The sequence below is a fragment of the Homo sapiens genome, chromosome 16 (assembly GCF_000001405.40).
Source record: "Homo sapiens chromosome 16, GRCh38.p14 Primary Assembly".
Classification (NCBI taxonomy): Eukaryota; Metazoa; Chordata; class Mammalia; order Primates; family Hominidae; genus Homo; species Homo sapiens.
The window spans coordinates 59,916,262-59,943,749 of NC_000016.10; the positions used below are offsets into that span (position 1 = coordinate 59,916,262).

At 33.9% G+C, this 27,488-nt stretch overlaps 2 long non-coding RNA genes across 4 annotated transcripts in view; one reads left to right on the forward strand and one right to left on the reverse strand.

Annotated features, from left to right (window-relative positions):
* Positions 1-26,513, reverse strand: LOC105371300 (uncharacterized). Of its 3 annotated transcripts, none has more exons than XR_933649.1 (8): positions 26,426-26,513; positions 25,499-25,705; positions 24,422-24,587; positions 9,692-9,733; positions 7,263-7,386; positions 4,662-4,726; positions 805-975; positions 1-381 (listed from the first exon to the last, which is right to left on the reverse strand). It is a non-coding gene; the product is annotated as an uncharacterized LOC105371300 (long non-coding RNA). The 3 variants fall into 3 exon arrangements; XR_933648.1 differs by having other exon boundaries at positions 805-1,010; XR_933650.1 differs by lacking the exons at positions 24,422-24,587; positions 25,499-25,705; positions 26,426-26,513 and adding an exon at positions 16,296-16,387 and having other exon boundaries at positions 805-1,010.
* LINC02141 (long intergenic non-protein coding RNA 2141) overlaps positions 1-27,488 on the forward strand; it is a 198,621-nt gene that overhangs the window by 60,909 nt on the left and 110,224 nt on the right. The gene's annotated exons all lie outside the window — the stretch shown is intronic.

A 27,488-nucleotide genomic window follows, 5' to 3' on the forward strand; every position in this document is an offset into this window, starting at 1 on the left:
CATAAAGATTCAAACACAATAGAGGTTTATTTTGGCTTTGCATACAAGTGGCACTCTTCTGTGTCTCGGGGAGACCTATTCTGTGGAGTGCTGCCTGGACCTGGCTCCTTTCATCTTACCCATCTGCCATTCTCTAGGGCATTGTAGTTATTTAATGCTTCTGTGCAAGATATGGGTAAGAACAAAACCAAACAAACAAACAAAAACGTGGAGGAGACACATTCTCTCTCTTCTTTAAAAAAGCCTTGGCTGAGAATGGCACACATCAATTCTTCTCATCTTCCATTCACAATCAAAAGTCTCATGGACACATATAGAGGTAAGAGGAGCTAGGAAATGTAGTAACTGGTTCAACAATTATTTACCAATGACAACCTCATTCTGCAGAAGAGAGAGCATGAAATTTGGTGAACATGTAAAGCTCTGTAATACAATAGCTATTGCATCTGATTTTCCTCCTTAATATTGAATTGTGTTTTCTCATGTCAATAACAATTTTGTTTTCGACAGATAATCTATCTAATTTTCCACCCTTGCCTATGTCATAATTTATTTAAAGATTCTGCTTTTTGTACATTTCTTGTATTTCCTTTCTATTTTAATTTTTTTAAACTTTGCTATATTTTGTTATCATTAACATATTGAGAAAAATATTCTTACAAATCTATTTTTTTCTTAAAAGTTAAAGCTAGTTAATTTAGTATTACCAGATTAAATACTGGTTTTGAAAGCTCTTGATAGATGCTGATTTTAAGAATGAATATACTTATTTTATCAGTGAATGATAGAACAAATGTACCTCACCTTCGCCAGAACTTGGTAGTACCACTGTAACAAAAGTCAGTGTGATATATAGAACATAATTATCTGTCATGAATTCATGCAAGCATCTGTAATCTTACTGAGAGGCAAGCCAGTGCAGCTGTACGTCTCTTCCTTCTCTTCATTCATTTCCAGCTTTCCTTCTAGGTGTTGCTTGAGAATCAATGAACAAAACAAAACACAAAATTCTGCAAGTGAAATAAAGTAACTTGAATGCATTCCTCTGTGGATATATTTAATTTGCATTTATCTTTTGAATTAAAAATTTATGTTTAAAGAAATGCATTCAGATTGGCTTTTGGTTTAAATATTGAACAAGACTTATGCTTCAAAGTTTTACCCTCTAGGTACAAGGTCAATTTTGTGTCAGAAATCTGTTATATGACCAAGGCCAAAATTTTCTTCTTTTTTCATGAACATGTAACTTTTTATTCACTAAAACCCCTGAGGTTGGAAATTAGCCACTCTTCATGGCTGATTAAGGTTTACCCTAGCATAACTTTTCTTCTAGGAGCCATGGATGTATTTTTGAGATTTCTCCTGCATTTATATCACAGCTATCCTTTTAGAGGTAATAAAGGAATACTCTGCACTCCACAACCTGCTCCCTTCATCCCCCAATAACATTCTTAGAAATGTATCTGTAGATATCATTTTCCATATAAACTTTACACATCTCAGCTAGCAAAAAGAATGAAAAATGGAGAATCTTAAAAAGGCCTTCTATTATTTTTTTCTTCAAACACACCAGGTTCGTGGCACCATAGAATTTTTGCACCTGTGGTTTGATCCCCCTCGAAAACTATTCATCTCTGCCCATGCCCCCAATTTAGCTTGACTCTCTCCTTCTTATCATTAAGGACTCAAAACCCATCTAAATTAACTCTGTTCCTCCCCTTCTGTGCATTGCACTCTCTTATTCTCTTCATAAGATTTATCACTGGATGACAGTATCTAATAGCTATCTTAATAGCTTGAGCTCTAAATAACAGGAATTTGGCCAGGTGCGGTAGCTCACACCTGTAATTCCAGCACTTTGGGACGCCGAGGCAGGCAGATCATTTGAGATCAGGATTTGAGACCACCCTGGCCAACATGGTGAAACCTGTCTCTACTAAAAATACAAAAAAATTAGCCAGGAGTGGTGGTGTGTGCCTATAATCCCAGCTGCTCAGGAGGCTGAGGCACCAGAATCGCTTGAAGCCGGGAGATGGAGGTCACAGTGAGCTGGGATTGCACTGCTGCACTCCAGCCTAGGTGACAAAGTGAGACCCTGTCTCAAAAACATAAATTAATTTAAATTAAAATTTAAAAAAAACAGGAATTTTTTTTCTATTTTGTCCACCACACTAATTCTAGATCCCACAATAGAGCCTAACAATAAGTAGATGCTGAGTGAATGAATGGGATTAATTAAATAAACTAATAGATGACAAACAGATCTAGGATGGATAACTTTTAGATACAGTTTGTTAAATATATCCTACCACTTGTATTTTGTTTTTCAAATGACACATCTCGTTTACATATATTGTTCATTCATTAGGAAATAATCAGCAGGAATGTTGGCAGAATATTGAATACAGACTTCATGAAATTTCTGCATGGGACTCAGATTATGTATCTTCTCCTAGTCTCCCAGTGCCTTCTTCCCAGCACTGCACGTTCTGGAGAGGTCAGTTTGTGGGAGTATGGAAGGTTGGGGCTCTTCTTTCTTAGAGGGGCAAGCTTAGACCAAGGAGTCCAGGAGCTGGGAAAGAGCTGGAAGATAAATTCCTCTTTCTTACTTCTTCCCATAGACCTTTCGGAAGCACAGTGATTCCCTACACATCTGAAGTAGTCCTGATCTTGTCAATTCAGTAATGTACCACTTGTATCTGCTTTCAGCCCCTCTCAAACCCAATAAATTTTCAACCTTGTTCCTGTTGCCCTGGGGATATAACTCAGGCACTATTGTACCTGAAGCTTTCCCTCAGGCTTTGTTTTCTAGGAAATTTGGGCTAAGTATCTGGTTCTGGACTTTTCAAAACATTTGAAATAATATCTATGTTCCCAATCGATGTGACAGTATGTTTCAATGAACAGATCAGATTGAATTCATTTCTCATTGAGTGAGAATAAAACAGAGCATGCTAAGCCAAAATTGAAGCTCAATTATCAGGTTCCTATGTCCTCAACAATGCTACCACTACTCAGGAAGAAGGCTTTAAGGAATAATAAGCTGAGATTCAAATTTGAAAAACAAATATGTTACTGTGTTGCCTATGTCTCTGAAACATGCCCTTTTCCAATAATATTTTTTATGCATTGTGTATTGATTAAGAATACCATTTTGAGGGGTCAAGGAGATACATGGTTTCATATATCAGCTCTTCTACTCTTTCATAGTCTCACAGATAAAAACTCACTAAACCTTCTCCATTCTCACGTAAACCACATTTTCATTAAAAGGGCATTACTCTTTAGTTTCATTAGTATGAGGATTAAATTAAATGAGGTGAGTAAAGCATTTAGCATAGTTTCTAGCTGTATGCTAAGAAGAGGCCCATTTTGCCCAAGTAGAAAGTTTGGTTGTCCTAAAATTGCTCCTCTCACGAGATCTGAGGCTGCACCTCTGTCTCCATATCACTTAGAATGCAACCCAATTGCCTACGAATTCATTCCCAATGTGATAGAAAATAGAAAAGATGGGAATTTGGACGATATTTTACAAAGGGGTTAGAGATCAGGAGCTATTGATGTAGAAGATAAGAGAGGCACTATGTTCAAAGGAATGAGGATATTTTTCTCTCCTGAACCTTTTATAGCATCTTGCTCATTGAGAAGCTAGTGATGCTCAGACTGAAAAGTTGTGGGAGAATCTCCTGTATCAGCCTCTACACAATCCCTTCTTGCTTCATCTTGTGATGGTAAAACCCTACGAACAAAACAAAATGAAAACAAACAGGAAACCCAACACACAAAACTGTAGAGTTCTCTCATTTTGTTATGAGCAGTAACATAAACGGTTATTTGTATGAATTTATTTGATTTTAAACTTACTATTATTCAAGGGTTAAAGTTAGATATTATGCTATAAGATTAATTGGAAATCTAAGGGACTTTCAAGGTACCAGTCCTTACCAATAAGGTAAGAAATACCTTGTTTTAGAAAATAAAATGCTGTTACAGCAATTTAACACTTTTCATTGTGTATGAGGATAAAGGTCATGTTGTCCTATTTTGATCTCTCTTTTGTAGAAATAAATGATGACCACCCAAATGAAGACAGTCAAAGGCTATTCATTCAGGGCTTGCTATATAGCCAGGGAGTCAGTTGCTATCACTTGAGTTTGGCAAAGACTCGAAGTTGGCAGGGGTTTGGGAGAGCTTCATAGTGAAAAACATGGAAGGCTTCAGGTATCCTTTGATTGGAAGTTGTTGGCACAGAGAAGCTGGAGGTGGACTCACTAGACATGAAACATCTGATGTGAATAATTTGTTTGAGTATATTTAGCTTTCTTTTATTGGTCCTGCATTGAAAGCAGAGGCAAAATAGGAAAGCTGTGATTTAAAACTAAGTTCTAACCACTCTGGGTGGAATAAAAAGAGCTTATGGTCTGGCTTTCTGGAATGGTGTTGCAGAGCTTGTGAGTAAGAATTTTTCCCATTGTCATGAATGGCTTGGCCATTGCCTGTTTTTATGTTCAGTCTCTTGCTTTATTCACGTAAACTAGGGAGACCCTCTTCCTATGAGGGAGGAGCTTGGACCCATATTACTAATCATCTCTTACTTTCTGTCTTATGTCCTTTTGTGATCTCATAGTTAAAAGAAACATTGAGTAAAGCTGTTGCCTTACCTCTTTGGGAGAAGTTCTAGCCATTCTTCTTTTATTTTTTTCACCAATTGGCCATTTTTTACCCTCTGTATCACATAAGAAAGAGAGATGCATGTGATTGTTAACCTTGATCATACCTCACCAAATTATTATCCCTCCACTGTTTAAAGTGTTAAAGTTTGCTTCAATGAAAGAAAACCTAGACATCTCTTTTTTTGTTGTTTGTGAAGGTGCAGTTTCCTTCTCTTAGGAAATTATTTTTCTTTCAAAATAGTAGCTAAGCAAGGAAATAGTAACCATGGTCTATGATGATGCTAGGTCATAAACACACATTTTCTTTTGATGTTTATTTTCCCAACCAGTTGTATTCTTGGCCAATCTTTTCTCTTTCTCTGCAATGCCAATAATTGAGAATTGTGTCTGTTCTTTGGGGTGAAAATTGACAAAAACCAATTGTTAGCCTTCTTTATTATGGTTTAACATAGGTCATCAAAGGAGATTAAAAAATGATTTTTCCAACTGTTCCTGCCTACGTCACTAGTGTTCTTCATAGGGATTTGGGGACAAATGACAGTCACTAATAAAGTTTTACTCTGCCTTGCTTCATTCTTGTGTATACATCTCCTTAGAAGAACTCAAGAGAGGACATATTGGCCAAATGTCATCTCAATTTCATCTCACTTTATTATTTCCCAAAGAGCAAACTAGATAACATTTTAACTCCCAATAAGAAAATTAATTTATACAGATTCAAAACAGAATGCATGTGACCCAAGGCCAAAAACTGAGGAAAAGTTTTTGAGGCATTTATTGAAATCCAGGTTTTTTTTTCTGTACCTTCTCCTTTCACATATTTATTTGCTTAGTACCCAGCGTGTATCTGGCACTCGTCTATGGGAAGTCAGTATAGTAGTGGCCAAAATAGATTTATTCTATATCATCCTTTGTAGAGAAGGCCGAAAAATAGACAAAATAATAATTTAACATAGCGATATGCTCTTAAAAATAAGCAAGTCTGCAGTGTGGTTCGGAAGTAAGAAAGATCTCTCAGTTTAACATTACTCTTTCTGCTTCCATCTCCTATTGCTTACATGACAGTTACTCTTATAAAGGAGTGATGTGTGAATAGGAAACTAAATACTAGAAGGCCATGTCCCTGGACAAGAGCATTATAAGCAAAGGGAACAGCATGAGCAAAAACAGGATAGGGTTAAGTTTCGCATGCTGCTCAGAAAACTGGATAAAAAGTCAACGTATTTAGAATACAGTGGGTGAAGCAAAGTACTAGAAAGCCAAACGTTTAGGGTCATGGATGACTTGCTGGTCTTTTCACTTTCATCATCTAGAGAAAAAAATGTAATTCAATCATGATGTGACCAACCATCAAATATTGTTTTTCTCAGGATTTCCAGCTGTGACTTAAATTCTTAAAGATCTCTTGTATTAGAAATTCACAAATCATGAAAAAAGGGACTTTGGATGTTCATACTTTAGGTATCACTGTATATATAGTGTCCTACATTTTCCTGCTATAATAAAACTATTTTAGCATTTTCTCTGATGGTTATTTTAGACATCAACATGTTTCTCAAACCTTTGCTGTCCCTTTTCTTTCTCACAATTAATAATCTTGCTCTTATTTCATTAAGGAAAGTTAAGCACTGCCTTTTTTTTTATAACTATAAAGGACTGCCTTTTATTTATACCAATAAATCTATCAACCCATCCTAATCTTAATCCACATGATGTATATTTTTCTGTATGACAATAGATGAACAATGTTTGCATTTATTGTGGTTGTGGTGGTTGGTAGTAATTTCGTTTTCATTGTGAAAACAAGCTTTTCACTTGCTTGTGAGATTCCACCTCTTCTTGTAAAGCGAAGTAAAGCAAAAACTAGATGAAATGTGAATTTGGCAACTTGAGGAGAGTTAAATGAAGGAACTGTTTCCAGAACTTCATAGCTAGTAATAATGCACCATAACCAGCCCTAGAGCTGAGAGAGAAGAGAAGGAAAGCCATTAGAAAAGGAATACTTGAAAGAGTTGTAAAGTTGCCCTAGAGTATCAGGGACTGAATTTACCTTTCCATCTGAAAAACTAAAAAAAAGTAGGATAGAATGAGTCAAATGGTTTTTAAAACATTGAACATCAGACAGCAAAGAAGAATCTCTAGTGATGGGAAAGAAATGAGCCAGGCAATTGCCCTATCTTATTATATCAAGACAGTTTCCAGTGTTAGCAGGGGCAGAATTCAGGGAGAGTGGTCTCAAACTCCTTGCTGTCTCCCAGAAGAGTTGAGGAGAGGGAGCTAAGAGTCCATAAAGACCAAGATGGATAGGTGTGGATATGTGCTATGGCTTGAATGGGTCTTCCAGAATTCACATGTTGAAAACTTGGTCCCCTTGTGTGGCAGTGTTGAGAGATGGAGACTCTGAGAGGTGATTAGGTAATTAAGAAAGATTAATACCACTCTCACTGGACTAGGTTAATTCTTGTGAAAGTGAGTACTTGCTCTCATCACCTGGTTTAATTACCACAAGAGTGAACTATTACAAAAGGAGGTCACCCTTTGTGTTTTGCTCTGTTTTGCACACATTCACCTGCCCTTCAGCTTTCCTACCATGTTTTGATGCGGTACAAAAGTCCTCATCAGAAAATGCCACCAGGACCTTGAACTTCGCAGCCTTCAGAACCATGAGCCAAATAAACTTCTTTTCTTTATAAATTACTCAGTCTGTGTCATTCTGTTATAGTAAGAGAAAATAGATTAAGGCAATAGATTTCACAGGACAAGTTACAGAAATAGGACAGCTATGAAGTGAGAATTCTGATGTTCTTTTTGCAGCAAGACAGTATTTATCTGTGCATGTGTGAGGAAGGAATAACCTAAAAAGATTAGAGAAAATGTTACTGAGGGCTCACACAGCATCAAGAAGAGTACTTATTTTCACCAGCCAAAATGGAAAATCTCATAATTCATGAGGCATTAGGTCAAATTATCTACAGGTACTTCCCTTAATAGTGGGAGAGTAACTAGCCCTATCTTCACCACTGATCTGTTTCCACCTAACAAAACTTCAAAACAAAACTAACAAAAGAAAAATCATGATCTCAAACAAATCAAACTGTTTGCTGTACTAAAATGTATCCCAGAACAAAAACTCACGAATATTTATAGGAATGTAAATTATAGGCAATTATACATAAAAATTACAATATCTGACATCCCATAAAAAATAAACAGATATGTAAAGATGGAAAAATACGACTCACAGTAATGCAAAAATATCGACAAAAACTGATCCAGAAATGACGCAGGTATTATGATAAGCATGTATGAACAATGTAACGGTATTATCATTTCAAAACTGTATATAGAGAATGGATAATATAAAAACAAAATTTCTAAGATTAAAATATTGTACTGGAGTATATTCTAGTAAAGCAAGTTTGGTTTAACATTCAAAATACAACAAATGTAATTTATTATATTTACCCAATTAAAAAAATTTTATATGATTATCTCAATATAATGCCCCAAAATGTTTATCAAAACTCAACACCACTGCTTATCAAAACCCAACACCACTGCTGACAATGACTCTCAGAAAACTAGGAATAGAATGAAACTTCCTTCAAGCTGATAACAGTCATCTAAAACAAACTTACAGTTAATATACTTAGTGGTGAAAAGTTGAACTCTTTGTCTCTTAGGTTAGAAACAAGACATGACGCCTCTACCTACCACTTATTGTATTCAACATTGTTTTGAATGTTCTCTCCAGTGCAATAAAGCATAAATACATAAAAAACTAAAATTATGTTTTTCTGGTAGATTGCATCAGTGTTTGTATAGAAAATCTTATCAAATCTACCAAAAAAACCTTGCTACAAATAATAAGGGAATAGGTAAATATCACAGGATACAAGATCAATATTAAAAAGTCTATTTTTCTATATACTAGTAAAAACTATTAGAAAATAAAATTAGGAAACAATACTATGTAAAGTAGCATCAAAAATATGAAATATGGATAAATCTAACAAAAGTGTATACTAAAAACTAAAAGCACTTTTGAGAAAGAAACTAAAGAATAATTTAAATAAAGGTGGAGATGTTCTTTAGTCTGAAGAGTTGAGGTTGTGATGATAAATTTTTTTGAAACTGATTAATAGTTTCAACATAAACAAAGTCCTTGCAGGCACTATTGGAGAGATTAAGAAGCTGACTTTAGCATTTATATGGAAGTGCAAATAATTAAAGATGGCAAACAACTTTAAAAAATAAAAGAATAAATTTGGAGAACTACCACCACCCAATTTAAATATATATTAAAAAGCTAGAGTAATCAGGACAGTATGGTATTGCTATCATGATAGACAAACAGATCAATTAAATGGATTAAATAGTCCAGGAAATGATCCACACATATATGGAAAATTGATTTTGGAAGAGTTGCAAAGTCAATTTAATAGATTAAAAAAAAGTCTTTTCAACAAATAGTGTTAGAGTAATTGGATATCCATATGCCAAAAATTTCAACTTTGATCTGAATCTTACCAAATTTATTTACTCCTAAAACTATAAAACTTCCAGACAAAAATACAAGAGAAAATTTTTTGAAACCTTAGGTTAGTCAAAGATTTCTTGGACACAATATCAAAAACATGCTCTGTATAAATAAAAAAATAAGTTGGACTTAAAGTTAAAAACTTATTTTCAAAAGACACTGCCATGCTCATTAAGATACAAGCTATAGATTAGGGGAAATATTTTTAAATTATATACTCGATTATTTAGACTTTGTCTGGACCATCTAAAGACATTTCCAAACCAAATAACATAGAAAGCAAAACAAATGACCAGAAAATAAAAAACGGAAAACAGATTTGATCTGACATTTCACCATGGAAGACACAGGATGACACATAAGCACATAAAAAGATGTTCAACATCATTACCCATGAAAGAAATGCAAATAAGAATCACAAAGAGATATTACTATACACCTATTAGAAATATTAAAATTGAAAAGATATTAACCATACCTGGTGTTATATAGTATGTGGAGGAAGTAGAACTCTCATATACTATAAAGGGAATGAAAAATAATACAAAAATTTGGCAATTTCTTAGAAATTTGAACATGTATCTACCTTATCATATAACCATCCCATTGATTATTATTTATCTAAGGGAAATAAAAGTAAATGTCCCATACAAAAAAAATGTACATGAATGTTCATGGCAGCTTTATTTGTAATAGCCCAAAACTAGAAGCAACTCAAATGTCCATTAATAGATGAATGGATTAAAATATTTAAAAACCTGAAATAGAGGTGTTACCTTTAAGAACTTATAAAGCTGCAGTAGTATAGTCATTATACTCTGTGTTAGAGCCTCAGAACTTCCTCATTTTTTTAAACTTTTGTTTTAAGTTCAGGAATACATGTGCAGGTTTGGTATTCAGGTAAATTTCATGTTGCAGGGGTTTGGTATACAGGTTATTTATTCAACCAGGTAATAAGCATACACTGAAACAGGTAGTTTTTTGATCCTCACCCACCTCCCACACTCCAACCTCAACTAGGCCCTGGTATCTGTTGTTCTTTTCTTTGTGTGCCTATTAATTTAATGTTTACCTCCCACTTATAAGTGATAACATGCAGTATTTGGTTTTCTGTTCCTGCATTAGTTTGCTTAGAATAATGACCTCCAACTCCATCCATATTGCTGTAAAGAACATGATTTTATTTTTTATGGCTACATAGTATTTCATGGTATATATACCATATTTTCTTCCAGTTTACCATTGATGGACACAGGTTGATTCCATGACTTTGCTATTGTAAATAATTATGTGATTAACATACATGTGCATGTGTCTTTATGACAGATGATTTATATTCCTTTGTGTGTATACCCAATAATGGCTAGATCAAATGCTATTTGTGTTTTAAGTTCTTTGAGAAATTGCCAAATTGCTTTCCACAATGGCTGAACTAATTTATATTCCCACTAACAGTGTATATGCATTCCTTTTTTTCACAAACTTTAATAATAGCCATTGTGACTGGTGTGAGATGGTATCTCATTGTGGTTTGGATTTGCATTTCTCTAATTATTAGTGATGTTGGGCATTTTTTTGTATGCTTGTTGGCTGCATGTAAGTCTTCTTTTGAAAAGTGTCTGTTCATGTCCTTTGTTCACTTTTGAATGGGCTTATTTGTTTTTTGCTTGTAAATTTGTTTAAGTTCCTTACAGATTTTGGATATTAGGCCTTTGTCAGATTCATAGTATGCAAAAATTTTCTGCCATCCTGTAGGTTTGTTTACTCTGCTGACAGTTTCTTTGGCTGTGCAGAAGCTCTTTAATTATGTCCCATTTGTCAATTTTTGTTTTTGTTGCAACTGTTTTGGCTTCCTTCTTATGAAATTTTTGCCAGGTCTTATGTCCAGAATTGTAATACCTAGGTTATGTTTTACTTGTAGGTTTTTACAGTTTTTATAGTTGTAGGTTTTACATTTAAGTCTTTAATCCATCTTGAGTTGATTTTTGTGTGTGGTATAAGAAAGACTTTTGTATAAGGTGTAAAGAAAGTTTCAATCTTCTGCATATGGCTAAACAGTTATCCCTTCACCATTTATTGCTGTCTCCATGCCCCTGTTTCCTTTGTTGAGTGTTCTAGTCCACAGGACTCACTCAGGCAGGGGCCACAGTTGGCAGACAAGCTGTATCCTTGCTGTGTTATTCCTAGTATGCTGTACATGTGCTTGCTGGGAAACTTTCTCATCTTATAACAAAGTTTGTACTCTTTGACCAATATCTCCTCTTTCCCCTACCATCCCCTATATGTGCATTATATGTGTGAATTTATTTCTAGGCTCTCTGTTCCATTAGTCTATGTGTCCATTTATATGCCAGTACCATACTGTCTTGATTACTATATCTTCGTAATGTAATTTAAAATCTGAAAGATGATTCCTTCAAATTTGTTTTTTTTTTTTACTTAATATTGCTTTTATTATTCAGGGTCTTTTGTGGTTCCTTATGATTTTTAAGATTTTTTAAAATTTCTGTGAAAAAAGTCATTAAATTTTTGATAGGGATTGAATTAAACCTGTGGATTGCTTTAGGTAGTATGGATATTTTTACAATAATTCTTCCATTATATAAGAATAGGATTTTTTTCATGGATTTGTCTTCTTCAATTTATTTCATCAGTGTCTTATATTTTGGTGTATAGATCTTTCACATAATTGTTTCAATTTATTCTTAAGTCCTTTATTGCTTTTGATGCTATTGTAGATGGGACATTTCTATAATTTATTTTTTCTCATAGTTTGTTGTCAGCATAGAGAAAGGATACTCATTTTTGAAAGTTAATTTCTTTCCTTATGACTTTGCTATAATTCATTTATTCAAAGAGCATGTCAATTTTACTTCTGCCTTTACAATTTAGATAATAAGTAAGGAGATATTTTAATTATTTTTTCCTGATTAATTGCTCTGACTAGAACCTTCAATAATATGTTAAATAGAAGTAGTGAGAGGGGACATCCTTTGGCTTTTCACCATTGAGTATGATGTTAGCTATGGATTTATCATATATGGTCTTTGTTATGTTGAGGTGCATTTCTTCTATACCTAATTTGTTGAGTGTTTTTATTATAAAAGGATCTTGAATATTGGCAAATGTTTCTGCACATATTGAGATGATCATATGATTTTTACCTTTATTAAATTAATGTGGTATATTGTGTTTATTGATTTGCAAATGTTGTGCCATCCTTGCATTCTAGGGATAAATCCCATTTGATCATGGCAAATGATCCTTTAATGTGCTGTTGAATTTAATTTGCTACCATTTTATTGAGAATATTTGTGTCTATGTTTAGAAGGAATATTAGCTATAATGTTCTTTTCTTACAGTGTCCTTATCTGACTTTGTCAACAGGGTAATACTGGCCTTGTAAAACAAATTTGAAAGTGTTCTCTCCTCTTCAATTTTTCGTAAGAATTTGAGAAAAATTTATATTATTTAAATGTTTGGTAGAATTCAGCCATGGAAGACATCAGACTATATTCTTTGTTTGATGAGAGATTTTTGATTATCAATTCACTCTCCTTACTTATTATTGGTAATGATTTCTTCATGATTAAGTCCTGGTATGTTGTATGTTGTTCAATAAGCTCCTTATGTTTCTTCATTCTTGTTGTTGTTGTTGTTGTTGTTGTTGCTCCCACTGGCTAATATTAAATGACTTGTCTTTGAGTTCACTGTTTATTTTTTTCCTGATCCTATCTACTACTATTGAAGTTCTCTATTGTACTTTTTAGTTCATTCATTGTATTATTCATCCCCAGTATTTCTGTTTGGTTCTCTTTCAGGGTTGCTATTTCTGTATCAAACTTCTTGTACTTGATGTATTATTTTTCTGATTTTGTTTATTTGTCTATTTGTGTTCTCTTGCATCTCACTGAGCCTTTTAAAGATAATTATTTTGAATTATTTGTCAGGTAATTCACAGATTTCCATTTCTTTAGGGTCAAATACTGAGGCTTTAATAGCTTGCTTTGGTGATATCACGTTTATCAGGTTCTTCATGATGTGTGGCCTTACATCAGTGTCTGTACTTTTGAAGGAGCAAACATCTTTTAATCCTTAAAGACTGGTTTTGGAAGGTGAAGTTTTTTTTTTTGTCTCTCAGGTCCCAAGGCTAATGGGATTGCCTCTGCAATCTCTGACAAGAAGAGTTAAAGGCAGGTTACATGGCTGTCACTGAGTCTGCAGTGGGGTTCAGTGTTGGTGGGCCTGTTACCAGGGACTCGGGCAGCATGGATCTTTCTTGGTTCCTGGGAAGATGGGACTTCCTTCAGGATCTTAGCCAGTAAAGCTGGTGCTAGGACACAGATCTATTTTGTGGTCTACAGTTAGGTCTTCAGATGATGGGCCTGTTTCCTAGCACATACATGGATAACTCACACCTGGTCCATGACAGGATTCTCACCAAGTCATTTTGTGGGTCCTTAAGTGGGCAGGACAGGCCCTGCACCATGGCTGAGAGTTGATGGAACTGAGTTGCAAGGCTGCTTCAGGATACACAGTGAACTAAGGTCTGCGGATCTGACTCTGGGGTATTAGGTGGCTTTTGATATATTTCTCTTCATTGATTATTTTCAGCAATTTAATTCGCATGTAATGGCCAGACATGTTTGTGTATGTGTTTATTCTGTTTGACTTCATTGAGCTTTGTAGATCCATGGCCTTATAATTTTTATCAAATTTGAAACATTTTCAGCCACAACTTTTTCAGATATTTTTATGTCTTTTTAGTCTCCCTGTTCTCTCTAGGAGACCATTTATATGTATTAGGCTATTGAATATAACTTGCACATCATGAAAACTCTTTTTATTCTTTCTAATCTTTTGTTTTCTCCTTCTTTTGGTTTGATTCTATTGCTATGCTTTGAAGTTCATCATTATTTTTATTTTACAGTGTCTAATCTGCTATTTATCACATCTAATAGTGTCTTAATTTTAGATATTATTGTTTTACTCTATGGAAGTAACATTTTTTTATATTATCAATTTCTCTCATTTCTTCATATTTTTAATTAAATGCTTGTTTATAGTTATAATAGCTATCTTAATATCATTTTCTTTCATTATTTCCATTATTTCTTTGTTTATTTTTATTAAATATTTTTTGTTGGTAATGCATTACTTTTTCTTGCTTCTTGGCATGTATGAATATTTTGATTAGAGATTGGGCCTTATTAATCTTATGCTACTGTTTGGCAGTTAACTTGGCAATTAAATTATTTTGGATAGAATTTATGACTTTGAGGCCTGTTTTAAGTTTTTGTAGTGTATATCTGGGGTAGTCTTTACTCCTGGGATAATTAAGCCATAATTAAAAAATAGGACTCTGCTGAAGCTTCCACCAAATGTCCTGGCTGATCACCAAGGACAATACCTTCTGGCTGGTTAGACTTTAAACAACTCCTTGCCTGGTGTGAAATTTGCCAAATTTTTATCTTACAACTTTATGATATTTTTGTCTAAGACTTGTAGAGTTTCATATTATGCATATATAAGCAAGTATTAAGTAGAGACTTAAAGAAACCCTTCTATAGATTTCTTGTTACTGCATACTTCTTTCTTTCTAGAATGTTTCCCTGCTACTTTTAGCCAGCTAAGCCTCGCTGAATTCTGGTCTCCATGTACTGAATTCAGTGAGACTGCCTGGTTCTGTTTGTGTTTCCCCTCTCTGCACTACAGCCTAGATAAAGCATCCAGTCTAGAAGTCAAGGGCAAATGTAGGACTCAACTCATTTTTCCTTTCTTTCAGGGATCATATGCTCCATAGCACATTGGAAAATGTGCTACCTGCTTTCCAATGTGCAAAAACATTTGTTTTACATTATATATATAGTTTTCTAGCTGTTTACAGTGAGAGATTAAGTTCAGTCCTTGTTCCTTGTTCATGTCTAGAATTAATGGCACACATGTGTTCATGATCTTTTAATGGCTTCACTGAATCAAAACAAAAAGTAAAAACAATAACAAAACACACACACACACACACACACACACACACACACACACACACACACACACACACACAAATCTTACCTTGGCCTACAGAACTCTATATCATCTGGCCTTAGTTATCTCTTCAATCGTATTTTCCAATATTTCCTTTCTCCCTCCATTAGCCATAACCAGAACACTGGCCTTCATTGTCTTCTAGCATAATAAAACAGCTTGAGGCTCTGGGAACATTTACTTTGTACATCTTCTACCTGGAATACTTTTCTCTTACAAATTTTCAAGACTCATTCCCTCAATTCACTAAGGTTCCTGAAGTAAAGTTATTTGGTTATAGCAACTTACTATGACCTCACTATCTAAAAGAACCACTCCTTTTTACTGGCTATCCTCTTTTCCTGCTAATATTTTCTGAATAACACTATTTACCATGTAGTGATGTATTATAGCTTTATTTGTTTATATTTTTTGTCTCTACCATTAGAATGTAAGCTGTTGAAAGAACTAGAATTTGTTATATTTATTGTTGTATTCCCCATGGCATATAGTAGTCCCACAGTGAACATTTCTTTAAAGAAATAATAACATTTCTTGGATATAAAGTACCAGATACTGTTCTCCCTTCAATATTCGGAGAAAGTAACTTAAAATATAAGAAGTGAATTAATAGTGCATTTTTCCCAGTTTATATAATTTAAAATGGAAAGCTTGTTGAGGCCATCTATTTTAATTTTTTGTGATATTTATAAATATAAACATTGATCTTCCTCCTTCTAATTATATGTGATATACTATAATAACTAATGTTGAATGATGAAGTGCTGTGTTTTGCAAGTTTTTCTAGCAGACACTGCTTATGCTATTATATACCAAACTCCATTAGGCTCCTTTTACCCTTACCTGTTTTTGAGCACATTTTTTGAAAACTACCCTTTGAGCCTGCTGTGGTTTGAATGCATTCCCTGAAAGCTCATGTGTTAGAAATTTAATCCCCAGTGTAACAGTTGAGAGGCAGCATGTTTAAGAGATGATTATGTTCTGAGGGGTTCATCTTCACAATTGAATTAATGCCATTATTGCAGGAGTTGGTTACTTACTGTGGAAGTGGATTTCTGATAAAAAGTATATATTTGTTCTGATTTTCTCTTTTGTGCTTGTGCTCTCACCATGTGATGCTTCTGGCCATGGAATGACCCTCACCAGATGCTGGCAGCCTATGGAACCAAATAAATGTCTGTTTCCGTATATTTTGCAAATATAGCAGAAAACAACCTAAGATAGAGTCTTTGCCCACACACAGAGGTATTTAAAAAACCTTATAATTATCAAGGAATGCTCATTATGAAGCTGAAACTCTCATCTCATTTGCACACAAACTCTGAGATGTCACTTCTATTCCAGAGCTCCCTCTGATAAATCAGGATAATGCATCCTAAAATTATTATTTTTTTCTTTTTTAGCAGACCTATTTAGTATCCAGCATCCTAAAATTCTATCCCCTTTTTGTTTTTCTTTCTTCAATGTCCACTCTCTTATCAGTTTCTCCTGGGAGAATTTCTTAGAAGAGCAGGTGCATATGAATCATTCATTATCTAGTTTGATATGTGTATTTGTCAGGATAGGTTAGGTTTATAGAGTCTTAACAAATAATCCCCACATTTTAGTGGCTTAATATATCAGATATATTTCTTCTTAAAGTTATATATTTATCATAGATTGGTGAATATGGGGGGTTGTTTTCTACATAAAACTCTTGGACCTTGCCTAATTCGGTATCAGTCAGGGGCCCAGCAAGTAACAGATTGGATATTTAAATTAGTGTAATTCAAGGAATGTTTCATAGAGAGGTAATTCACTAAGGTATTAGCAGAGTATAAAGGAAACACAAGAAATAGTGCAGCACTGACAAAGATGCTGCCATATTTCACCTGCCCTACCTAAAACATGTTGTTTCTTTGATTGCAGAGCTGGGAAAGGATTCTAAGAAATTGAGCATAAGCTTTATAGTTCCTCATACATCAAAATAATATATATCAATTTTACTCACATTTTATTGGCAGAGCTTGTCATACAGATTCACCTGACAGTAAAGGGACTGGAAACAGACATTTCCAATTCATATGGTCTTATTTCATTCAAATGTGATTTATATTGGCATATCTAGTGTGCAAACAGCAATGTGAATTCTCTTTCAGAAATGTGATATTTATTGTAGAGAGTGTGCCTTTTTTCAAATGTACTTTTCAACTTTTTGAACTTTTATCAGTCTTAAAAGGTAAATGCCTTCAGCTGTCAAGTTATCATATCTCTATTTTTGATCAGTATAATTTTTTAATTTTTGATTGGTGTCATAACAGCATGGCAGATAGGATTCTGGGTAAAATTAATAATGAAACATTTTAAATCAAAGGATTTTAAAAAGTAACTTTCTTTTAACATGAGTGAAGTGACAACTTGTTGACAGATGACTGTTACATGCCCTCTAATCTGGTGAAATGATTTTTTTTGAAGGAAAAGAGCATATCATATCATTCCATGTTAAATTATATGCATTCAATATTTGATATTTTATTCATTCTCATGTGGCTTTGGAAAATATGAGCTATATGTTTCTTCTTTTTTAGAAAAAGATATAAATGTAATAACAAATGTAATTAGTCAGAATAGGTTATATTATGCTGTCATAACAAACAGCCCTAAAAATGTCAGTAGGTTAAAATGACACAGGTTTACTTCTTGTTCATAGTACATTAACTGCACAGGGTAGTTGATGGGCTTATTAGTTCTACAACACCCTCATTCAGAGACCCACCATAAAGTAATTTCGATGTCTGGCTATGCTCTCATGATTGCAAAGGCAGAAACATTAAATATGGGAAATTTTGCATTCCACTTAGAAGTCAAACACATTGTTTCCATCCAGGTTACATTGGTCATTGAAAGTCATATGGCCATATTAACTTCATGAAGTAGAGAAACACAATCCTACTGTTAGATTAAATGGGGAACCAGAAATACTTTGTAAACCATGATAAAGACTGATGTACTTAGGAATAAAATGTAGCTGAAATTTACATTAAGTAATGCTTTGTCATTTCAAATATCTGTAAAATTCATTTAGGTGCTGAAATACCTGTTTAACACATTTAAATATATATTTCTAAGAAAAAAATATTTATCCATCTGGTGAATTGAGTGTACAATGCCACAGAGCATATTTTATACTTTTCTTAAACATTATTTTAGCATAATAAGAATACCTAACTTTACCTTTAAAAGATTTTTAAGTGTGCAATACAGAATTATTATCTACAGGCACAATGCAATACAACAGAGCTTCAGAACTACATGTTGCATAACTGAAGCTTTCTACAGATAGATTAGCAACTATTCATTTTCTGCTCCCCCTAGCTCTTGACAACCACAATTCTCTATTTCTATAAGCTTGGCTCTTTTAGATAACTCTCATAAATGGAATCATGCAGTATTTGTTCTTCCGTGACTAGCTTGTTTCACTTAGCACAATGTTCTCAAAGTTAATCCATGTTGTCACATATTACAGGATTTCCTTCTTTTTTAACGCTGAAGAATATTCCATTTTATGTATATGCCACATTTTCTTTATTTATCCATCAGTGGACACTTACTTGTTTCCCCATATTGGCCATTGCAAATACTGTTGCAAGGATCATGAGAGTGCTAATATCCCTTTGAGATCTTGATTTCAATTCTATTAGATAAATACCAAGAAGTGGGACTACTGGATCGTATGGTAGTTTTATTTTTAATTCATTAAGGAACATCCATACTGTTTTCCAAAGCACCTGCACCATTTTGCATTCCCATCAATGGTGTATATGGGTTCCAATTTCTTCACATCCTCACCGACACTTGTTGTCTTTATGTTATTTTTGTGTGTGTGCTAGCCATCCTAACCAATATGAAGTGATATTTCATTGCTGTTTTGATTAGCATTTCCCTGATGATTAGTAACATTGAAAATCTTTTCATATATCTGTTGGCCATTTGTACAACTTTTTTGAAGAAATGCCAAGTCCCATAGTTCACTCTTCTGTATATCTTAGGATCACATTTATTTATGTCAACATTTTTGTCCCCAAACTAAATAGGCCCAAACACTAAATGAAAATGAGGTGCATGTTGTATTAGCAATGTTTGTAACTATGAAAGAAAAGTATTGTTTCTTCAAGACAAACTCAATCTGGATCATAAAGTTGGTTTTCTGCCACTGTCACTGTGGTGCTTTTGTTTTTATTGTTGTTATTATTGTTTAATATTGGTTAAAACTCAGATACAATGCTACATTCTTTTTCAAATAAACTTTTTATTTATAAAAGTTTTAGATTTATAGAAAAATTACAAAAACAGTACAGAGAGATCCTTTATTACCCAAACTCAGTATCTTCTAACTTACATTTGTATAGTTTGTCATAATAAATGAGACAATATTAATGCTTTATTATGAATTAAAATCCATATTTAATTAATATTTCCTTAGTGGTTTTCTGAGGCCTTTTTTGTTATAGGAGTCCACTCTGGATACCACATTGCACTTAGTCTCTATAGCATCCTCTGAATTGCAAAAGTTTCTTTGACTTTTCTTATTTTTGAAGACCTTGACAGTTTTCATAGGTAATGGTTAGGTATTTTGTAGACTGCCACTCAAATAAGATTTGATTGATGTTTTTTATCACAATTAGATGGTACTTACAGGTTTTAAGGAGGATGATCACACAGGTAAAATGGCATTATTATCAAATCATATTATTATCATTAGATGATACCAAATCCTATCATCAAATCACAATACATAGTATCAACATGACTTATCACAGTCGATGTTGACCTTGATCACTTTGGCTGAGGTAATGCTTGTCTTATTTCTTCACTATAAAGTTACACTTTTCTATTCTCTTTCCACACTCTTCTTTTTGGGAGGAAGTCATTATATACAGTTTCCACTTAGGAGTGGAAAGTTATACTTGTTTCTTTCAGGGTGAAGTATCTCCACAAAGTATTTGGATCAATATATTTGTTTGGATCAAAGATATTTCTGTTCTTTTCAATTTATTTGTTTGTTTTCAATCATTTATTTATGTCAGTAAAGACTCATGGATACTTGTTTTATGTATTAGGTTATAGTTATTACTTCTTTATTTATTGTGTTGCTCGAATTTGGCCATTGGTAGCTCTTCCACTTTACTACAATGTCCCTTTAATGCAACTCCTTCATTATGGGTTTTTGTGTTTTGTTTTGTTTTTAGCATTTTGTTTATTTTCTAGCCCTATAAGATGCTCCATCTACTATATTTTCTAACCTAGTTCTAGAATAAGCCATTTCTTCAAGGAGCCACATTCCTTTTATTTCAATATGGCATTAGTAACCAAGATCTGGGTACTTAGTGAGCTCATTGCTACTGGATTGTTTTTTCTAGGATTTCTTAGCCAACAGAGCAACGATAGGTGATTACACTAGCCCATATATATATGCATGCCTATATATATTTGTAATTTTAACGATATGTATCACCACTAAACTGATATATCACTGCTAAACTGATCTGTTAAACTGCATTCGTATCACTGCTGAGTCACCAACTCTAATTTATTACTACATGGATCATTCTAGCATTATCCTCTTATTTGTTACTTTCTGCTCCAACAGTAAGAAAACTCTCACCATCTGCCATCATTTAGGTAATTTTTCAGTTTCATTATATGTGTATAATGATTTCAGAATTGTTAACACATACTCGTGTGGGGAACAACTTTACTGACTATAATGCCACACTTATATATAATTTCTTTTGTCTTTACCCTTACATATTACTTTCGATTCCAAAGTTGTTAGTACTTTATTTCCTCAACACCTTAAGTAAAACTGTTTCATATAGTTGTAAAACAATAAGATTTTTTCATCACATCCTGCCTTCCATTTTGGGATCCCCAATCTCACTATTTATATGTATATGTATGGTATTCACTCTTACTGTATAGTTCTATGGGTTTGAGGAGTTTAGTGTCATGTATTCAGTATTACATTATTGTACAGAATAGTTTCAGCACTTTGAACGTTATCCTGTGCTTCTCATATTCTCCCCTCACCTTCTAATCTATGCCAGCAGCTGATCTCTTTACCATCTTTATTGTTTTGCTTTCGCTAGAAGAGCATATAAATATCTCCATACATTATTATTAGCAATATGCATTTAAAATTCATCCAGGTCTTTGAGTGATTTGATTGCACATCCCTTTTTATCAATGAAATATACCATTGCATGAATGTACCATAGATTGTTAATCCATTCACATATTAAAGGGCATCTGGATTGCTTTTAGTTTTTTATAATTATCATAAAGTATCTCTAAACACTTGCATACTGGTTCTTCTGTGGACATAAATTTTAAAGCAGTTGGGTAATACCAGGGGCATGAATCCAGGATTGTATGGTAAGACAATATTTAGATTTATAAGAAACTGTCAGACTGTCTTCCAAAGTGGCTACATCATTTGCATTCCTGCTAGCAATGAATGAGATCTTCTTTCGTTGTTCTGCATCCTCACCAGCAATTGATTGTCATTTTTTAAAGATTTTTCTCTTTCTAGTAGTCACATAGTAGTATCTCATTTGTTATAATCTGCATTTCTCTAATAACAAAAGATGTTGAATATCTTTTTATTTGTTTACTTGCTGTCTATACATTTTCTTTAGCAAGGTATCTTCAGATATTTTGCTTATTTTTAAATTGGGTGGTTTTCTTAGTTTTAAGAGTTTTTATATATTTTGGATAGAAGATCTTTATCAGTTATGTATTCACAAGTATTTTCTCCCAGTCTGTGGCTTGTCTTTTTATAAAAGTGTCATTCACACAGCAGAAAATTTAAAAATTTAAAAGTTTAAATTTCAAGATGGGCTTATAATTTTTTGTATTTATTGTGCTTTAGATGTTATATCTAAAAACTCATCACTAAACCCATGATCTTATAAATTTTCTATTTTTTCTTCTACAAATGTTATACCTACACATTAGGTTTATGATCCATTTTTAGTTAATTTTCTGGGTAAGGTGTAAGGCCTGTGTTTTCTAGGTTCTTTTTTTTTTTTAATTTGGACATTCTATTGTTGTAGAATCATTTCTTGAAAAGTTTAGCCTTTCTCAATTGAGTTTCCTTTGTGTCCTTGAGAAAAATAAGTTGACTATATTTATATAGATGTAGTTATGAGATTTTTACTGTTTCATTTATTTATTCTTTTGCCAACGCCATGCTGTTTTGATTACTATAGCTTCATAGTAAGTTTTGAAATATAGTAGTGTGACTATTCCATCTTTTCTATTCTTTAGTATTGTGTTGGCTACACTGGGTCTTTTTCTTTCCATGTAAACTTCAGAATCTCTAAATAGCATGCTGGGATTGTGATTGAGATTTCGTTGAATCTAGAGATCAAGTAGGGAAAAATTGGCATCAACAATATTAAGGGGCTTGTTATGAATAACAAAAGATAACCCCTATCACTCAGAAAATTCCAAGATTTTAGGAGCTCTGTGCCAGAAATATGGGCTAAAGACAAAATATATTTAAAAGTTATCCTGCACTTAGTATTCCCAATTCTTCCCTCTTATTCATTGTGACATTAATGCTGTTCATTTCACTTATTCACATGCAATATTTTGCTACTATTATTGCCATTATGGTTTGAATGTACGTGTCCCTCCAAAACGCATATGTTGGAATTTAATACCCAAGATAATAGTATTGAGGTGATGCCCTTGACAGGTGATTAAGCCCTGAGGGCTCTGCTCTCATATATGGAATTGGTGTCCTTATAAAAGGGCATTAGGAAAAGAGTTCATCTCTTTCTTGCCCTTCTATCTCATCTGCCATTTGAGGACACAGCAAAATGGTGCTATCTTGGAAGCAGAGAGTGAGCTCTTAGCAGACACAGAATCTGCTGGCTCCTTGATCCTGGACATTTCAGCTTTCAGAACTGTTTAAGAGATACATTTCTGTTCTTTATAAATTAGGAAACCAGTCTAAGGTGGCATGTGGTCAGAGGTGGGGAAAGGGGGCTATTCCACAATCTTACAATAAAATCTCAGGATTTTATTGGGGCTATATCTTGGGTCTATGACCTTTGCAAGCATTCAGTGTCATAGCATTCTCTCCTCACCATGCCATCCCTTTCTTGTGTGCAGGATTCCCAGTCTATCTCCTTGAAGTTCTGAGTCCTGTTGACTATGTTGTTTCTTTTTCTTCACCATAGGTGAGACAAAAATGCAAGATAGGGATAAAGTAGGACAAACTTCCTTTTTCTAAGTGAGATAAGGCTCTGGGAAAATATTTAATCCTTGGAGATTTGGCCTTTGTTATAAGGAAGACTTGGTGTGTGTGTGTCACATGACTGGTCTTTCCTCGTCTTGCCAGAGCCCTGTGATTATCTTCCTCAGATCTTCACTGTGAGAACCTAGTGGAGTTTCTTGGGATAAATTCTATAAAAGTGTATCCCTCCAAGACTGCAGCCACCAGGAGCTTCTCACTCACTCTACTCCATGGTCAGCCTCTAGCAATTTGTCAAAATTACCATGGAAATGTTTCTACCAGTTTGTGCCTTCAGTGGCTTCTGCTCCATGTAAACAAATCTCAGCTATGTCTTTCTGGATGTACCTGTCTTTCCAGAAATTGGGGTGGTATTTTTTCCTGCAATGTCACATCTTTGATAGGTCCAAGAAACGTCATTGATTATAAGTTTGACTAACTTTGTCTTGTAGGTTTGTGAGCGTTGACTTCCAAAATCTTCAGATGTTGGAGCTGAAAATTCTATGTTCATTTTTAGCTATTTGAGCAAAGTATGAGAAATTAAGCAAGGACTATTATTTGTTGAGGTATCTCTAAGTGCTTTTGAGTTTTGTATGTTTCTAGATGGTATATGTGTTTGGATTAGGTATCTAATCCAAACCTTAGGTATCTAAGGCTTTGGTTTTCAATTATTCATAAACATAAAAGTATATATTTTAATGATAATAAAATTAGAATACATTATTAAATCAGGAAAAAAATCAAGAAAAGTTTTATAATACATCTTTATTTCCAAATTTCCCCTTATTTTCTCCCTAAACCAAAACAGGATATTTATTACCATTTCCTAGAATGTTGCATTGGGAAATTAGTTTCAGTAGAATGGTTTTTATATTAGATACACACCTCAATTTACATGCCATGTTCTGACATAACTCTTTATAATTCCTTGGTGAAGTTTGAAAGACAACTCATCTTTCCAAAATATAAATGTCTGTTATTCTTGGAAGGACAATAAACTTTCCATCCTTTTTTTTATTCCAACACATCGTATCACAAAGTGAAATAGTATCTAAAAATATGAGATTTTTCAAATGAAACTTTGTGTTATTGATAGCTTATTCTTGCCCTCATCATTCTATCATTCAAGGTTAACATTAGAGACCTCACAAAATGTTGTTTAATGTTTATTACTTTAACAAAACATGGAGTTCTAACAAAGCCCTATATCGATATATCTGCCTTAAATTAGATTTTTTAGGGAAATATACATATATATAATTTCTATTAGTGGAAACCTTGAGCCAATTTATATTTGCATATACCTTCAAAATGAACTTGGTACCTTTATTGTTAATATATTAAATATATTATTAAACTTTATGAAGTTTCTATTAGTCATTCTGTTTGCATTTCATACTATTTAAAGAGCATGGAGAAATAAAACCCCAAATAGAATAGTGAATAATTTGTAGGTGTATTTCATTTAGAGTTATTCAGAACTTACTGGCTGCACAATCTTATGATTGTCCAAATCCTCAAAAATATTGACTAACTGTTCTGTTTATAAACTAAAATGCATCTTTAAAATCAAATGCAAGCTCTGTGATTTCTTTGTTCTATGCCACCCAATTGTTTGTTTGTTTGCTATTTTGATTTGCTGCTATTTGAGTCACTTGTTTAATCAAAAAATCCATGTTGTCTACCAGAACCTGGAGTTCCCAGGAATCTACAGTCTTAATGGTGGCATAAAAATTACTAACAGTTTTTACCAAGAAAGGTTGCCTTATGAAAATTTGTTAAAGAGTCATTGAACTCGACTTGCATTTATCTCAATTGATCGATTGCACTTACACCAGCAATTTTCATATTTGTTACAATATACACAGAAAAGAAAAATAGCTGAGGGTATAAATTAGTTCATATTTGCTCTAACTACAAACATGAAAGGGAGTACATTAAAGCTAATCATCCTTCCATTACCTTGTCATTGCCACATTTTTACTGATACACGATGTGAAATGAAAAACACAGAGAGCTTTAAGAGCATGGTGATGATGGAGTGGATGAGTGATCAGCTTCTCTCTCTTGCTTGCTTCAGTATCCTGTCATTTGGGCTGTGTAAATCCAGGACTGAACCACAGGATTTTGGTTTCTTTATGAGAAATAACAAAACCTGGGCTTTGAGAACTAGTGAGGAATTGAATAGACAAAGCGTTAATATTTTTGAAGATTGTATTAATGTTATAAAGACCGGAAATATATCATTCTAATTTCACAAATACATTAGCTATTATAATGATGATAAACTTATCTCAAAAATTAAAAAAAAGACAATATCTAGTAAAGAAACATAATCTAATTTTGTGAAAAACATTTGTATTAGCGTTCAAACTTCTCGAAGATATATAATGTTCTTAGGAACAATAGAGCTATATGGAGACTGAGGAAGTAAGTGGTGCAAGGGGTTAGGCTTATTTGACACTTTGTCTTAATAAATCATCTTTCCATTTTATTTTTATCACTTTAATCATCTTTTGAAAGAAGGGTATCCAAACACTAACCTGCATAATACTGTTTATGTGGTAAGTTCTGAGTATCCCAAATGAGCCATTCTCTACTGAATGAGATCTGTTTTGTTTCTTTTTTTCTCCTATTGACAGCAGAATCCCTAGCTCATTTCCTGCCAAGTAATCTACATCATCTGAGAAGAGTTTTCTACATATGAGTCTTTAGTACAAATCTCCATGGATTTTAACCTATCTAGATGGTAACTTGTTATAAATAGTTCTTTTAAATTAATTGATTTAATAATTTTACTACCACTAAGGCATCCTTGTGATAATACTTTGGTTAGAGGCACGCACACACACTCACCTAGGTAAGGCTAAATTACTAATACCTACTTACCTAGTTAAGAATACAAAGACTCCGGTGGCTCACGCCTGTAATCCCAGCACTTTGGGAGGCTGAGGCAGGTGGATCACGAGGTCAGGAGATCGAGACCATCCTGGCTAATACGGTGAAATCCCATCTCTACTAAAAATACAAACAAACAAACAAACAAATTAGCCGGGCGTGGTGGCGGGCGCCTGTAGTCCCAGCTACTTGGGAGGCTGAGACCGAGAATGGCGTGAACCCGGGAGGCAGAGCTTGCAGTGAGCCGAGATCGCGCCACTGCACTCCAGCCTGGGAGACAGAGTGAGACTCCGTCTCAAAAAAAAAAAAAAAAAGAATACAAAGACTCTTCAGAATGGAGGTGTCCCCAAATGGCAGGCATAAATGTAGCTTATCTCAACATGGCAGGCACCCTTTATCCTGGGATTCCAGGGGTGGCATCAGCTAGTACTAAAATTGTCCTTGGAAAGATATGTTTTCTCCAGACCTGACAGAGCTGAATACTTAACGTTCTGCTGCATTTTTAACCATGAAGATTAAGTTGCCATTTCAGGAGAACTTACGCTAGTAATCTATGCCCTTACTTTTCAGATGTTTATAAATATCCATGTATTCTTCATTCATTGATTTGAAAAATATTTATATTTGTTGTACCTAGCACTAATCAAGGCAGTTTGGATGCAGCAGTTAAAAAAAATAAAAAAAAAAAAGTAAAAGAAAAATAAATTCTCTCTTTGGTTGGAAGATAGAAAATAAATCACATAAGAAAATTACATATTACATATTAAGCTATAGGGAGGTAAGAACAAGGGAGGGAAGCCAAGTAGATAATTGGGACTAAAATGCCAAGGTGGTGGGTTCAGGATGGATATAGAGGTGTCGTAATCTTTAAAAAGTAGTCAGGGCAGGGATCTTTGAAAAGATGAATTTAAGCAAGGAGAGGAAGGGATATGCTGTTTAAAAGTATTAAGGGTAAAGCGTCCCAGGCAGTAGGAACAACAAATGCAATGGATCTGAGAAGAGATGGTGCCAAGGATGTTCAAGGAACAACTCTACAGCAGCCAGGGGTTGGGTG